Source organism: Homo sapiens, chromosome 22 (assembly GCF_000001405.40).
Source record: "Homo sapiens chromosome 22, GRCh38.p14 Primary Assembly".
NCBI classification, from domain to species: Eukaryota; Metazoa; Chordata; class Mammalia; order Primates; family Hominidae; genus Homo; species Homo sapiens.
This window is the reverse complement of record NC_000022.11, coordinates 25,713,289-25,729,312: the sequence shown is the minus strand read 5'-3', so window position 1 is coordinate 25,729,312 and position 16,024 is coordinate 25,713,289. Positions and strand designations below refer to the sequence as shown.

At 40.7% G+C, this 16,024-nt stretch overlaps 1 protein-coding gene and 1 pseudogene across 4 annotated transcripts in view; one reads left to right on the top strand and one right to left on the bottom strand.

Annotated features, from left to right (window-relative positions):
- Positions 1–18: 18 nt before the first annotated feature.
- Positions 19–16,024, bottom strand: part of GRK3 (G protein-coupled receptor kinase 3) — a 164,620-nt gene continuing 148,614 nt past the window's right edge. For all 4 annotated transcript variants that reach the window (NM_005160.4, NM_001362778.2, XM_047441166.1 and 1 more), the window contains 4 exons: positions 14,743–14,905; positions 10,932–11,068; positions 7,916–8,029; positions 19–7,024 (listed from right to left, as the gene is read on the bottom strand). In NM_005160.4, coding sequence (NP_005151.2) covers positions 6,863–7,024; positions 7,916–8,029; positions 10,932–11,068; positions 14,743–14,905 — 576 coding nt within the window. In that variant the 3' untranslated portion in view covers positions 19–6,862. The remainder of the gene's footprint in view (positions 7,025–7,915; positions 8,030–10,931; positions 11,069–14,742; positions 14,906–16,024) is intronic.
- On the top strand, positions 14,144–14,272 carry RNA5SP494 (RNA, 5S ribosomal pseudogene 494; annotated as a pseudogene).

Sequence of the window (16,024 nt, the reverse complement as noted above, 5' to 3'; positions counted from 1 at the left end):
AGCACACGGAAGTCGATATCTTTGTACAGATCCTTTTTATTCAGATTTATATAGGCAATTTACCAACACAGAAAACCAGTCTAGCAGCTCCAAAGTAACTGTAAAAACGGTGGTGCTGACGGTGGTGTGCCCCACACAGGGCAGGTGACCTCAGACGTGGAGCAGCATCTCCCGTGGGATACTATTTCAGACGTGCACTAGTGAGTGTATACTGAGAAGGGATTATAAACCTTCCCTGGCACAACAGATACAAAAAGAGATAGAACCAATGATATTTTGTCTAGGTACAATATCTAGATTTACAGTATCTAGTTTACTGGCTTCACTTCGTATAGCAATGCACAATAGAAAACGGATTTCTTTCTTCAAGGGTATTCAAGAATATAGTAAATATGTTACTATATTGATGGCTATGAAAACAGACAGAGACAAATGAGTGAGGAGGCACGTTCTCTCACAGAGACAGGACTTCATTCTATTTCACATAAATCATTAAGGGTCCATTCAAATATAAGACCTCTCACAAAGTTTCAGTCATGTATGAGGGCGCTTACCTTTAAGACCCCATTTCAAAACCATTTTGAAATAGTGAAGGGGGGAAAAAGTCACACTCAAATGTGCTACTCTTAAAAGCAGTGTTTCTAAGCACAGCTTGCCTTTTTCAAAGAGTGAAGGTGGCCTTTCTGTTTAGTGGTTAGGTAATTGGGTGCAATAATCAAATCTTAAGGCAATGGCAAGGCTGATGGTGGGGATTTGGCACAATAAGGGGAAGGAATGATGCTGTCCAGTTGTACCTTAAATCCTAAAGGATTACTAATGACATGGGAGGGATAGCTACCTGCCCCACACACAGGGGCTCCTGGACAATACCGTGGCTTTAGAAACAAACCTAGGTTCTGAGGGAATGACACTGCAAAGTCTTACAGAAATCCTTTTATGAGATAGCCAGTCCAGAATAAAGCCTTTGCGGTACTTGTCAACAAGCAAGAAGCCTTCTGAAGAGGTAGATGAAAGCAGTATTTCACAGCAGGTGTGCTGCCCGACGTGACGAAAGACATGCATGCGCCTCTCAGCACAGACCAGAAGATCAACTGTTGTTGAAAACAGTCCATGGTGGTGAGAAGAGATGTCGGCCACATTACTAGGTGCATTATTTCAATTTTATTGTATTAAGAACAGGAAGGACTGCCATTTCTTTAAATAACAAACTATACAAATAAAAAGGAGCAGAAATAATATGGAATGTTTTTGACGAAAACAAACTTATGGATTCAATAAATAATATAAAATGCCTTTGTGCTAAAATAGAACTCTTGTTTCTTATATATATATAGTTCAGTGATCTTTATGCTATCCAGAAAAAGCCAGATCTATTATAATTAAACATAGAAAAATACCATTTAACAATAAAACTAAAAAAATGGCCAGTGTTGAGCTTATAAACCACATATAATATATACATCATTTAATATAATCAACTAAGAAAGTAAATTTCAAGTTCTTTGTAATACAAATACACAATTGAAAATATTTCTCCATTCCCTACCCTTACATCAAAGACATCTGATATTTAGGACAAAATTAAAAATGGAAGCATAGTTACCAGTTTTCAGAGATGATTCTGAGATTGTTAGATACTGGAGCGCTAACTCTACTATACAAAGCTGAGTTATTTAACTCTAAATTGAAGGATTTTTTCCCCTATATGTGTTTGATGAAATGCGTATACTCTTAACCCATTTTCTGTAGTTTGTGTTTTTAATAAAGGCAATTTAAAATTTGGGAGCCTGCGTTTCTCAATCAGTGCTAACACAGCCAGGTCAGAAAGACAGCCCCTTTGGGCCAGCTGTGGGGGCCTGCAGGAGTGGTTATCTCTGTGATTCGGCTGAAATAAAACAACTATCTTAGTCCTTAAGGACAAAGAAAATATAAAGTTCATTGTGACTTGAGGAAGCCAAGGAGTACCATTTTAGAGTTCAAATTTCATTTGTTTCATAATAAACTTTGTTAAAATGTGACCTGGATTAAAAAAAAATCATATTAACATGAATTTAAGTAATTCAAGTCTCTCCAGTAAACTTTACATAGGAGGGAAAAATCATGTTAAATCTTTAGGAAAAAATTTAAACGGTTAATTACTTAAAAAAATTTTTTTTGTAGAGATGGGGTCTTGCTGTGTTGCCCAGGCTGGTAACTCACCGTGGAAGTGAGCAGGGTAGAACAGAAGAGGCCTGTTACTCTTGACAGTTTTACCAGGACTTCAGTGGATTTGTAACAGTGTCCCCAACTGACCAATGGGGCAATGCATTCACAGTGATCCAGACACTGCCTCTCCACCTCGGGGGCTGCAAAGTGCACACACACACACACACACACACACACACACACACACACACACACGGGGTGTTTTGGAGATGGCCTGGTAATGCTTTAGCTCTGGGTCCCCTGTGCCTCCATGGGAGGGTGCCAGAGGGTAGGCAGAGGCAAAAGAACTTCTTCAGAAAGTCCTGATAGGCAGCAAATGGCTTCTGAATGAGTTCAGCAGCTCCACATTCAAAAACAAAGTGACCAAGTCTCAGAATAATTATCATAAGGAAAACTCTCCTGTTACAGGGGGGAAAAAAGAAACTTCACCTATTTTAACTCAGTTATTTCCTTGGTGCTTTATGGTGTAATGATTTTTACCAGTAACTTCTTTCTTCCTTCGCCCGATTTCTACCACTATTCTCTTTGTGACACCCAGCCCAGCCCCCACCTGTCACAGATCCCAGTGAAGCCCAAATCATCTCCCAACAAGTCAACCCCTCACTCAGGGTGGGAGGTGTTAATTCATCAAGCATCTCTGAATGACACAGAAACATTTCCCTGAACGTAACTGAGACAACACTGCATATGATTAAATCATACAAGATAACTCTTATCTTACACCAGCACATTTCAAAGCATTTCTATAGGTTTACATCATGCTAAAGAGGCCAGACTTTGAGAACGTTGTTTTCTTCTTGATATGTTAAAATTCTGAAACATTAGAAAAATCAATTCCACTGAAAAGTAAAATGTGTTGAATTGGCCCAGCTACAAATTCCGAGTGAAATTTTAAAAAGCAGAGAAAAACCACACTTTGATCTTTTTAATCTAGTTAAATCCCTGTCGTCAATTGGTAAACATTACTTTGTAGATGACCAGTGTGGCCTTCAAACAGTCGTTTCTAATATCTGTATATGGCATATGTCAGACCAGAAATCAAGCTACATCTTGTTTGCAACAAACAGACCATTGTTTGTTGCTGCTGCTGTCTTCAGCAAAATGCTTCCTTTCCTCAGTGCATCTCACTGGATATTTAGCCCCCCTCCTTTTTTTTTTTGAGACAGAGTCTCGCTCTGTCGCCCAGGCTGGAGTGCAGTGGCGCAATCTCGGCTCACTGCAAGCTCTGCCTCCCGGGTTCATGCCATTCTCCTGCCTCAGCCTCCCAAGTAGCTGGGACTACAGGCGCCCGCCACCACGCCCGGCTAATTTTTATTTGTATTTTTAGTAGAGACGGGGTTTCACTCTGCTAACCAGGATGGTCTCAATCTCCTGACCTCGTGAACCGCCCCTCTCGGCCTCCCAAAGTGCTGGGATTATAGGCGTGAGCCATCGTGCCCGGCCAGCCCCTTCTTTTTAAACATAGGACCTGAAATTGTCACGTCAGTGAATGGACCAATCAGAGGCATGAGCACTTTGCATGAATGGTGACATAATAAGCTGACTTCTAGAAGTTTTGTTGAAAAATCATACTTAAATATGACAAAGAAGGAAAACCAATGAGCCCCCATGACATGAGGGGATGAATGAACCAAAGAGAATGTTTTAGGTTAAAAATAATAAACCTGAATTCACAAAGGTTTTTAATTTATTCCATATATATCTTACATAGCAGCTTAAAGTAATCTATTATTTTTAGGCTTTATTGATTCTTTTGAATCATGAAATCAAGACTTATTACCGCATGATTTTGTAAAAATATCAACCTCAATTATTTTTCTCATCAATGTTAAAATATCCCAACCACAGGAATCTAAAATAATGAAAAAAAATAGGCTGAATTTTGACCTTTTTAATAGTTGGAGTGTAATAAGGGTGAACATCTAGGAATTATGTAATACTTGGAAAACCTTCTAAAACATCCAAGTACTATGGCTGGGCATGGTGGCTTACATCTCTAATTCCAGCATTTTGGGAGGCCAAGGAAGGAGGATCACTTGAGCCTAAGAGTTCAAGACCCCATCTCTACCCAAAAAATAAATTAGCCAGGAAAGGTGGCATGCACCTGTAGTCCTAGCTACTCAGGAGGCTGACGTGGGAGGATTGCTTGAACCTAGGAATTCAAGGCTGCAGTGAGCCATGATCATCCCACTGTTCTCCAGCCTGGGTGACAGAGCGAGGCCCTATCCCAAAAAATTAAAAAATTAAAAAAAAACAACAGCCAAGTATACCATGATGTTTAATCCAACTGACTTTTCCTCTGGCCATGCAGGCAACCGGGTGCAGACACAGCGGTATCCTGTGTCTGGTCGCAGAAACACCTCCATCACAACATTTTGGCAGAAGGCACTCAAACCAGACCCCAACACAACTGGTGACCGCCCTCAGAAACAGCTCAATCTAGTCTTACAAAGCACTTTTAATAAATGACATCTAGATGTACTTCTCAACCATATCATTACAAATCAAATGTGAGTTGGGGAAGTGTAAAAGTTTACACTTTTGTTTGAAGCAAAAGGACTTTCAGAGCATTTTCCAATTCATATATCTTTTCTAAAAGGGAGTGGAGCCTTATGTTCTATTCTTAGAGCAGAAATTCTAGTTTTTGAAAGAGATGCGGATCAGCTCAATTTTAGAACAAGTATGGGAAAGTTGAATAATCTTTCTGAACACGTTTGTGCAGCTCACGCCCTAGGTACGAGATATTAGACGCTAAGCCCAGACCCTGGTGGAGTCAACAGCAGGCCCTTTATCCTGGAGATCTAGAACAGGCATGAGGCCCAGCGCATCCTCAACTGCACATGCTGAGAACCTATGAGCTTGAGATGCAGACGGGAACGGCATCAGTCACAGCTATAATTAACCAGGGCTGGGAAGACATTCACTCTTTAAGAACAATGGCTTTTCTGCTTCTGGAGTGTGTGTGTGTGTGTGTGTGTGTGTGTGTGTGTGTTTCAACAGAATTTGAATACTATTCTTCCTTTTTAAATAAGGAGAATGCATGTAAGTAGTACATCCCTCCTCCCACACTGGAAATAACAGATAGTAGAAAATGTATGTTAATTTAAACCCCAACTAGTAGTTGAGATAGACAAAAAAAAAAACCCACATTTTTTTTTTTGCAAAGTAACTCTTATGAAATAATGGACCCTTTTGGTAATTATCTTCCAAACTCTCAAAATAACTGCATTAAAAAGTACTTACTTTGCCCATGAACACAGCAAACAAATACAAAAACAAAGATTTGGAACTGCTAAAAATATCAAGGACAGGATGCAGACAATTACGATGTCAAGTTATTTATACTGTTAGTAGTTAATGTAAAGACATACACTAAAACTACTCCAAGAATGGGACAAATACGTGGATTTGTAAAATTTTTTTTTTAAGACTGATGACATGGGGGATTTCGCTGGTTCTCATAACCCAGCATCTATTTGGGGGTATCAGTGGGGCCTGGAGGCAGTGGGAGAAAACAAACTTCACAGGGCAGATGCTGCTGGGACCAGGAAAAAGGCTTCATGCCCTAAGGTCCTCACTGTCGTACAGCCCAGTGCAAAGTATCATTCATTCATGACAGATGCATGACGACATGAAAGTCAATATACACAGTTAACCCATTTTGACACATTCATTCCTCAGCATTTTTTCAATACAATTCATCTGAAATTATACTAAGACATAAAACAGACCTGCTTTTGTACATCCATTACTGATATGTCTCCCAGGGTCAGGCAGAAGGAACCAGAATGACTGTCACACAACTGCTAATTGTCGAGACCTGAGACGGACTCACCCATGAGTGCTCCTGCATGCCAGGTACTGCTTGTCGACTCGTGCACACTGGACTCAAAGACTTTTGAAAACTGCTCTTGCCCCTGAAACCTAAAACTCCACGGCCTGTCCTTCAGAATCACTGTAAATCTTTCCAATGATGGACGGATGAATGCCTTCAATGATTAGTTAATCCCATACACTTGGATAGTACGTGTCCGTCATTCCCACCTGGCTGAGGGGGCCCCGGAACAGACTGGTCAGAGGCAGGGCAGTCATGTGGGTGCGGCTCCCAGAGGAGGGCCCAAGTGCAGAAATATCTTCAACTTTTAATATCATCAGAAAATATCTTCAACTTTTAACCCCAGGACAAGAAGTCAGTTGCGAAGTGCACAAAAGAAACACACTGTGGCTCTCCCATCCCCCAGCAGTATGGAGCAAAGACATAGAAAATCAGCAGTGACTAGACAGAATATGTGGCAATGCTTAGGGCAATCTGTTACCCAACACTGAACATCTTTAAATTCCATTCTGGGGAGTCTAAGATGTGTTTGATATCAGACATAAAAATTTACGTGATAAGTAGGAGTCACTTCAAGTTCTAGGTTCATAGGTACCAAAGTGTGTAGCAAAGAAAAAGAACTTTTATTTCTTCAGTAGTTTCTAATGCAGACAAATGTGACAAGGCAGGGAGCTGAGCTGACCCCAAGCCGAAGGGTCCCGACTCCTCTCGGGAGCCTGGAGGAGTCCCGGTAGCGAATAGATCAGATGCCTCATCCTCGTTCACCCCAAAAGGCTGAGACCCTGGTGTGTCCTCCTCGAGGACCCTCCCTGTTTCTGGGTGCTAGAGGCCGTTGCTGTTTCTGTGACAGAGGGATGGCTTTGGGAGCTCCACAGTACCTGACCGAGGTTTGTTGAGGAACTTCGGGGCACGACGCAATAGCCGCTGGGCCTCCTTGAAGGTTTCGTTCAACTCTTTCTTCCACTGCACAAACTCTGGATCACTCTGAGGGGGAATACAAAGGCAGCCGTTGTGACAGGCTCACCCATTTTGCCAACAGCGGAGGCTGCCCCTATTGATTACCAGCGTCCCTGGAACCCCTGAAGGAAGCACACCCTACGTGTCCACCCCCAGTGGCATTACTAGCTGATGGGTCACGCTGCCACCTTCTCCAGAATCTCTTGAAAAGAGCAGGGAAAGGCCACATTAAAACCCTTCAGATGATTCCAGTACAATCCCACTCTGAGAATCACTGCCTTTAATTTGTTTAGAGATTACTTTTGATTTCTAAAACAACTGAAATCTATAATAATATAGGGGAAGGAGTTTTGACAAATTAAAAAATGTTTTAAATATATATTCATGTATGTAATGTAGTACTGATGTTAGTAAAAATGATTTTTTTGCATCTAATACGTGTTTATTTCTCTAAATATGCTCTCTTAAAACACACACACTAGTGAACCAGTCACAAAGTGTCCAGGAATGAAATTTGTGTTACAATGTAACTTTGAGGAAAAGATGGCATTTTCGTTTAGAGAAGATGGCATTTCAGTTTGCCGTCTTATATTTATCTAAATATATAAACCTTAACATCGAACATGCCGAAAAATCTTCAAAGTTATAGAACAAATAAAATTCCAGCCCTATTAAATACTGAGCAGATTTTCCAGATAGAGTAATGACATTATTTCACCTGCATCCTCCTGCCATTTTCTAATATTTGCCTTTTTAAAAAATCACGATGAATTTGCTGAAAACCTTGTACCTTGGGGCTTTCTTACTAAGTTTGTAAGTGATAAAACATGGCATAAGAAAATGTTTTATAGACAGGCAGTCAACTTTGCTGAATATTTAATTATTCTAACATTCACCTAAGAAAAAATAAAAACTCACCTCACATTGCAAGACAAATTGTTTCCCTCCTTTTATTCTGAACAAAATGCATTTTTTGTCTTTAATTTGAGTTTCTTCCACAGAGAGAATCTGTTCCATTGTCAGTAAATTTTGCTAACCATAAAAACAGAAATTTAAAATTCAAATTATTTTGTGATTTCTTAAGTAGTAATACCAAAAACTACCAAGTTAGAACAAGTAAAAAAAGAAAACACATTCGGTTTTCTTTCTTTGATGGTATTCTAGAAGTAAGGGGAAAATGGCTATAAAGGAACACAAACAAAAGTTCAAATTATAATGTTTCAAGGAAAACTGCAGAGAAAGCAATGTTTTGCTAGGGAAAAACGGCAAAGCTGTTCCCTCAACACAGAACTGATTTTGAATGATGATGAATCGCAAGCCTACTTGCTGTATGGCACACTCATATACATTCTGTCAATAACATTGTGAGGAAGCAACAGAGCCACATATGATTTATGTGAGCCAAAGGTGTGTGGTTCAGTTTTAAGGCAGCAACTCAGTAAATGTTTACTGATGTCAGCTTGTAAGCTAACAATATTTTGATAGTATCCCAATGATGTCATAAATAGAGGTGGTTTCATTAAAAGATTAAAAGGTCTATAGGCTGGGCGCGGTGGCTCATGCCTGTAATCCCAGCACTTTGGGAGGCCGAGGCGGGTGCATCACGAGGTCAAGAGCTCGAGACCAACCTGGCCAAGATGGTGAAACCCCGTCTCTACTAAAAATACAAAAATTAGCCGGGCGTGGTAGCGGGCTCCTGTAGTCCCAGCTACTCGGGAGGCTGAGGCAGGAGAATCGCTTGAACGCAGGAGGTGGAGGTTGCAGTGAGCCAAGATCGCGCCACTGCACTCCAGCCTGGGCGACAGAGCAAGACTCTGTCTCAAAAAAAAAAAAAAAAAAAAAAAAAAAGTCTATAGTATTATTCCTTAAAGTGAATGCTATAGTGTCATGAGTTCCTTAGCGTCTTACGGTTTTTGTTTTAAATAAATACTTCAGGAATCCTGAATGAGAAATGGCACTCTGATAAACACTCAGGTTTTCTTTTTCCTTACTTAGACTTACAAATCTGCTCATGCATATTATGTAGCTTCTTAAATAGAACACTAAATGTTGAACCTTTTAAAACCAAGCTCATTTATTGCATCCAATGTTAAACAAAGGTAAAAGTTTTGTTTTTTTAAGTTTTCAAACAGCCTGAAAAGTGGGGTGATTTCCTTTTAACATGCCAGTGGGTAGCATAATAAATGTATAATCTGCCCAGGTCCGCTCATTACCTGGAAATACAGTGAGCTTTGGGGAGCTACTCTGATGCTTCCCAGCCCTGAGTTACACTTCAGGTCCCCAAAAGGATCTTATTAATTGGAACTTAGATCCTAGATTCTAATTTTTCAAAAATAACTTCGATGGCAGGAGTGATGGTTGGGAAGATCTTCTTTCTTTTCAAAGAAATGGAGTGATATGCAATTGTAATCATTCATAATTGAATGAAAACTTTGCTAACAGTAAACTAAAAATACAGTCCAAAGTCAAATACATGAGATTTAGGTGCCCTGTTTTCCACACTTCTGATCTCTGGAGAACAGATGGGTGGTATTCCAACATATCCAACACATAAACAATGTTTTGAGTGTTTGGGACCATCGTCCTGCTTACGATGACTCACCAGGCCCCCCCCCCACCCCACCAAGAAAAGAAAAGATGCCTTCCACCAGGGTTGGCTCCTTCCTTGTTGACAAGCCCTGGGCTCTTCACCCAGTAGGCACTTAATAAATGCTGCCTGATTTGCTGAAAGGTAGTGCGGATCAGAAATTTCTTTTTATCTTGTTCACAAACATTAGCTCTCGAAAGGATCTTAGAGGGCAGCTACATCTTGCTGTCTGTTGTATGATCCACCTACAAATTCTCAACAAGGTGGAGACACAAGGAAGCATCTTTTGGTGACCTCATCTCTGTGCCAAGTGTCATGGCCTGGGACATTTTATTTGACCCAACTAGGAGAGGCCGTACAATGGAGAGACTGAGGGCACAGGATGACCTGGTCTGAGTCACCCTTCCACCTCCTAACTGTCCAGTTGTGTTTTTGGGTGGCAGACTTTCCTCTTCTAAGCCTGCTTTCCTCTTTATAAAATGAGAGTTGGACCCTCAAAGGTTCCCAAACACATGGAGTTTTTTTTTTTTTTAACAGCACTTGACCTCAGATAAACATGCAAAAATTACAGTACAGTCATCCCTTAGTATCCACAGGGGACTGGTTCCAGGAACCCCTGAGTAGCATAATAAATGTATAATCTGCCCAGGTCCAAATTATACAAAATCCACAGATGCTCAAGTTGCTGATATAAAATGGTATCGTATTTGCATATAACCTTCACACATCCTCCTGTATACTCTAAATCACCTCTAACGTAAATGCTATGTAAACAGTCGTTAGACTGTGTTGTTTTTTTTCTGTATTAGTTTTTATTGTTTTGTTGTTATTTTAAATTTCTTTTTCCCGCATATTTTCTCTCCTTGGTTGTTTGAATCCCAGGATGGGGATCTGTGGATATGGAGGGCTGACTGCAGTTGTTATGATTTCTATTTCCCTCATTTCACAGATGAGAAAACGGAGGCTGAGAGAGTCAATGTGACGTGTTCAAAGTCCCAGAGACACTCAGCAGTGGAGCTGAACACCTCTGTCTGACTTCAAAGTCCAGCTTGTCTTTTCTTTTTAGATCTGTCTAACTGCTCTCCAGCCTTCTTCAAATCCATCTGATGATGTGGTGCTTCTGACCTCACTAAAAAGCATGTTCTATTTTCAGGTATTACCAAGTTGTTCCTTGACTTGGAAGTTTAAAAACAAGTTAAAGTTTGCACATTACAATCTCATGTAGAGCAGTAAAATAGAATCACAGAGTTTCGGAGGATAGTGTATAAAACATGTCAGCAACATGAAATAACCATATGCCATTGTACGTACTGGGAAACATGCTCGGTGAGGCTGCCTTAGACTTACCCGGGACTCTCCCTCTCCTCTCCATTCAAGTCTATTTGGAAAGAGGTAAAAATAGCGACGCTGCCACTGAGTCAGAAATGGGTTTCCCAGTTTCAGCATGTACCCGTGCATAATACAGTCCTTCCCCAGAGCGTAATCTGAGGAATACAAAATCACTAGGAGTTAAATAGGCTCTGAAACAAAATGTCTTAGCAGCATTATTCTCTGAAAAAAGAACAGACATGCTTTTTGGAAAAAGCAGGTTTCTATAAATAGAACGCATTACAGAAGTCACGATTTTAGTTTTAAGTGCATGTGTACTGGGGATCTAAAGATCAGAGGGTTCTGCAGCTCTCTCTGCTCACACAGTAAATGATTGCTTCTCAATATGCTGATAAATCCATGATGTTCATTTATTGCTCTGGGAGGGCAAAAGTTAGTTTCCAAACTCTTTTCATTATGTGTAATGAGAACCGGAGAATAGACGGTATTTAAAGTCAAGCTATCCCCAAAGTACCTTCGCCTTTACGTGGGGTTGGGATTCCCCCTTTAATCTCCCTTTTATCTTAAAAATAATAATAGTGGGAATTTTCTTGTCTAAGTAATTTAAGGTAACATAAGGATCAAAAATGGTTCCTTCCTCAGCTTAATGTTAGGTTTATTCCTCAAATATATGGTTATGTATAGAGATAATTCACAGACATTGTTGAGTCCTGATTACATTTTTACAGTGAAGGACTGTGTCCTTAAAAAAAGAAAAGGTTAATTTTAAAGTCTGTATTAAAGGCTTTGGTGATTGTCCTAAAGTCATTCAGTCACACACTCATTTCTTCAACAAGTGGCACGTGAATGCCCAGGTGCTGGGCATGTTCCAGATATTCTGGGTTCAGCAGAGAACAAGAGACAAAAACCCCTGCTTCAGAGAGCTTACAATCTAGTGAGTGTTTCAGACCATAAGTAAACACGTAAAACCCATGTCAAGTCATCTGGAGACAAGCAGGTAAAGAACAAAGGAGAGGGAGGGCCAGGGAGGGTCAGTGGTGATGGGGAAGGATGGAGTCGTCCTTTTCACTGAGAAGTGCTTGCATTTCCGAAATCTGTTTAAAATACGAGCACAGTCATCCCTTGGTAGCCACAAGGGGTAGGTTCCAGGACCCCAGCAGACACCGAAATCAGTAGATGTTCAAGTCATCAATATAAAATGGCATGGTGTTTGCATAGAACCTACATATATCCTCCTACAAACTTTAAATCACCTCTAGTTTACCTATAATACCTAATACAGTGTAAATGCTACATAAATAGTTGTTACACTGTGTAGCAGTGGTCCCGAACCTTCTTGGCACCGGGGACCAGTTTAGTGGAAGACAATTTTTCCACAGACGGGGATGGGGGAATGGTTTTGGGTTCAAACTGTGCTACTTCAGATCAAGCATTCGATTCTCATAAGGAGCACGTAACCTAGATCCCTCACGTGCGCAGTTCATGATAGGGTTTGCAATCCTACGAGAATCTCAGGCCACTGCTGATCTGACAGGAGGCGGAGCTCAGGTGGTGATGCTCACTCGCCCAGCACTGATCTCCTGCTGTGCAGCCCGGTTCCTAACTGGCCTCCCCACTGGGGGTTGGGAACCCCTGCTGTATGGCTTTTATTTGCATTATTTTTTATTGTTGTATTGTTATTCTTATTGGTTTTCTCCAGATATTTTTGATCATGGTTGGTCGAATCCACAGATGCAGAACCTGAGATGTGGAGGACCAACTTTATTATAATTTTTTTTTTTCAGGAATCTAAGCCTAGACTATATTTTTCTATAAAGGTGACCTCTGAGATTGTCAGCCAAGACCTACTTATGCACGAATTACTTACTAACACAGGAAGATAAATTCATTGATTTGCTAAACTTTCTAATTACAGCTCTAACTAGAAGGATACACTTGAACATGCTTATGAAGATCTATATATAGTTGTGGATCCAATTAATCAGGATTCTAGTGACACCATGACCCCCCCTTGAGCAAGTCGACATTGATTCAATTTCCTGTGTAAAATCTGCTGTGGCAAACACACCCCAGTGTGATCACAATGGACCGGTTCTCTAAAGAAGAGCTTATGGCCGGGCGCAGTGGCTCACGCCTGTAATCCCAGCACTTTGGGAGGCCAAGGCAGGCGGATCATGAGGTCAGGAGTTCAAGACCAGCCTGGCCAACATAGTGAAATCCCATCTCTACTAAAAATACAAAAAAAAATAGCCAGGCGTGGTGGTGGGCGCCTGTAATCCCAGCTGCTTGGGAGGCTGAGGCAGGAGAATCACTTGAACCTGGGAGGCGGAGGTTGCAGTGAGCCGAGATCGCGCCACTGCACTCCAACCTGGGTGACAGTGTGAGACTCCATCTAGAAAAAAAAAGAAGAGCTTACAAATAAAGGCTATGTGTCCCTGCAGAATTGAGGTAAACAGAGTTAAAAGAATGCAGGATTCCCTTGGTGTATTCTGGCAACGTTTATATAAAGAGTAAGTCATCCAGAATTGAAGACACTTTAAATGCCACAGGAAAATCATCAGATAAGACCAAGGAATCCTATACCAAGATGCTGCTACCAAAGTAACCTATTAATAGAGTGAAAGAGTTTCTGGCCATTCTTGTTACATAAGGTTAACCTTGCAAGGGTCTTTGCTCAGAGGGAAGATGAAATTACATCTTAACATAATCATCGACTACAATAAATTTAATTATCCACAATTCATGAAATCTTAGAAAAATCAAGAGTAACCATATTCAGTGAAATGAGAATGACTGATTTATTTAAAACTTATGTTTCCTACTTGATGTTATGTTTAGTAGGGCATTGAATTATTTACATAAAAATACAGTTTGGCAATTTTTTTTTTTTTGAGACAGCTTCTCGCTGTGTCACCCAGGCTAGAGTGCAGTGGCACAATCTCAGCTCACTGCAGACGACCTCCTGGTCTCAAGTGATCTTCCTGTCTCGGCCCCCCAGTCCCTGGGACTACAGGTGCATGCCACCACACCTGGCTAATTCTTATTTTTTGTAGAGATGGGGTTTCACCATGTTGCCCAGGCTGGTCTTGGACTTCTGGACTCAAGTGATCCTCCTGCCTCGGCCTCCCGAGGTGCTGGGATTACAGACATGAGCCACTGCACCTGGCCTGATTTGGCAATTTTTAAAATGCTGTTTGTAATATAAATGTCTTTATATATTTAACTCTTTTGTCTATGGCCATACAACCCTTAACACACCCGATGTCATCTGATCTTGGAAGCTAAGCAGGGTTGGGCCTGGTTAGTACTTGAATGGGAGACATTTACCTCTCTTGACAAGTGACATGTCGTGCTAAGTTCCTCGCCAGGACCAGCTACATACTTCTCGGGCCCCAGTGCAAAATGAAAAGGCAGGCCCCTTGTTCAAAAATGACTAAGAGTCTCAAGGTGATGACAACAGAGGACTAAACTGAGTCAGGTGCCCAGATGACCGCACAGGGCACACACCAATGACACCAACCCCACTCCAGACACTGTCATACTCAATCTGGAAGGAAAAAACGTCCAAACCAGTCCCCAAGCACTCCAAGATAAAAGGGCATACTAAAGAAACCCGGCCACCTGTCTCCATAGACTTATTTGTGTGCTGCCTGAAGACTTTGAAATATTAGACTGAGCTCTTCCAAGCCAGAGCAAACTAAAGCGATTTATGGCATTGCTTTCTTCTCGACTGCAAAATACCTTACGACCCAAATACTTTTTCAGCTTTACAAGAAATTTTGAAAATTTACTGCATTAGAAATGTTTTGAGACACGTGAGCTATTTTACCTTCTTCGTGGCCAAGTTGCTTATTTTTAGCTCTCTTCCTGGCCTCGATTTTATCTGTGTCTGCATTTACTGCTTCATAAACTGTTTCCGTTACTTCTTGCTGCCAGCGTTCAGAGATGACCAAAGGGAAGTTCTTGTAGAGTTCTTGGTCGCAATCAAGTAGCTGATTATTTTAAGAAATCAAGATATTTATGATTTAACATACTTACAAAGGTAAGAGTCCGCGGCGCCACATCCATGGTGACTCTATCATAACTCTATATAGGAAGATGACTAGATGGCAGCAGTAATCATTTCGAGGCAGGTTCTTAGTTATCATAAATCTCTGCTAATGACAACTCAAGCAATCATCATCCACAAACAGAACTGATGAGCACTTCACTTTCAGTCCTGGATCAGCTACAATCAACCCAATCTTGTATACTATCTTCATGACATGTTTTGCCAACGAAAACTCACATATACAGAATTTTACTTGAAGTACTGAGATTCTGACAACAAAGTAAAATTTCAATTATGGTAAGGATATTTTGTTTATATAGGTAGGAAAACTGTTTCTATAGTTTCAGAAACAGTTATAAGGGAGAAGCCAAGAGGGCTTTTGAACCTACCCTCAATTAATCTGAAAAGTTAGAAAAACAAAAGGTAAATGAAGCTGAGCTTCCTATTAATTCCATGAACCTTCCAACTATTTACAGTTTGACATCATAATCATATGTATAAGAAATCTCAAGACATATGGGGAGTTCAGGCAATGGAGCCTTTAAGAGCTGCTGGAACAAAAATTATACTTAATGGTAGCATTTTTCTTCTAAACGATTATTCAAAATTCTTCTTTCTGCCCTCTAGGTAAGGCTGCATTTTGAATATGAGCAAAGAAAATGGTTTTCTGCATGTGAACTACATTTTTATAGCAGAAATACTAGCAAGCCTGCTGGTAAATACATGCTTGTCTTAGAAGCACAGACCTCCTTAGAAACTTGATTTGCTTACTCCTTGAAAGATAAGCAGGGGTAGGTATCATAACAGGCAAAATACTGAGAAGGGCAAGAAAGACCAAGGAGGCTAAGGCACTTGCACACACTCCCTTAGCAAATCAACAGAACACCAGAAGAAGCTGCATCCCACATGCCAATATGGGGCCTACTCCATCCAGTCTCATTGATCTATTATAATAATCTGTTGATTCTGAGGTCGCTTTGACCTGTAGAGTTTTTCCTCTTTCTGTTTTCTTCAGACATTCTATCTAAGCCCATAGCTGAGCCCCTCAGTTGCTCTGAAT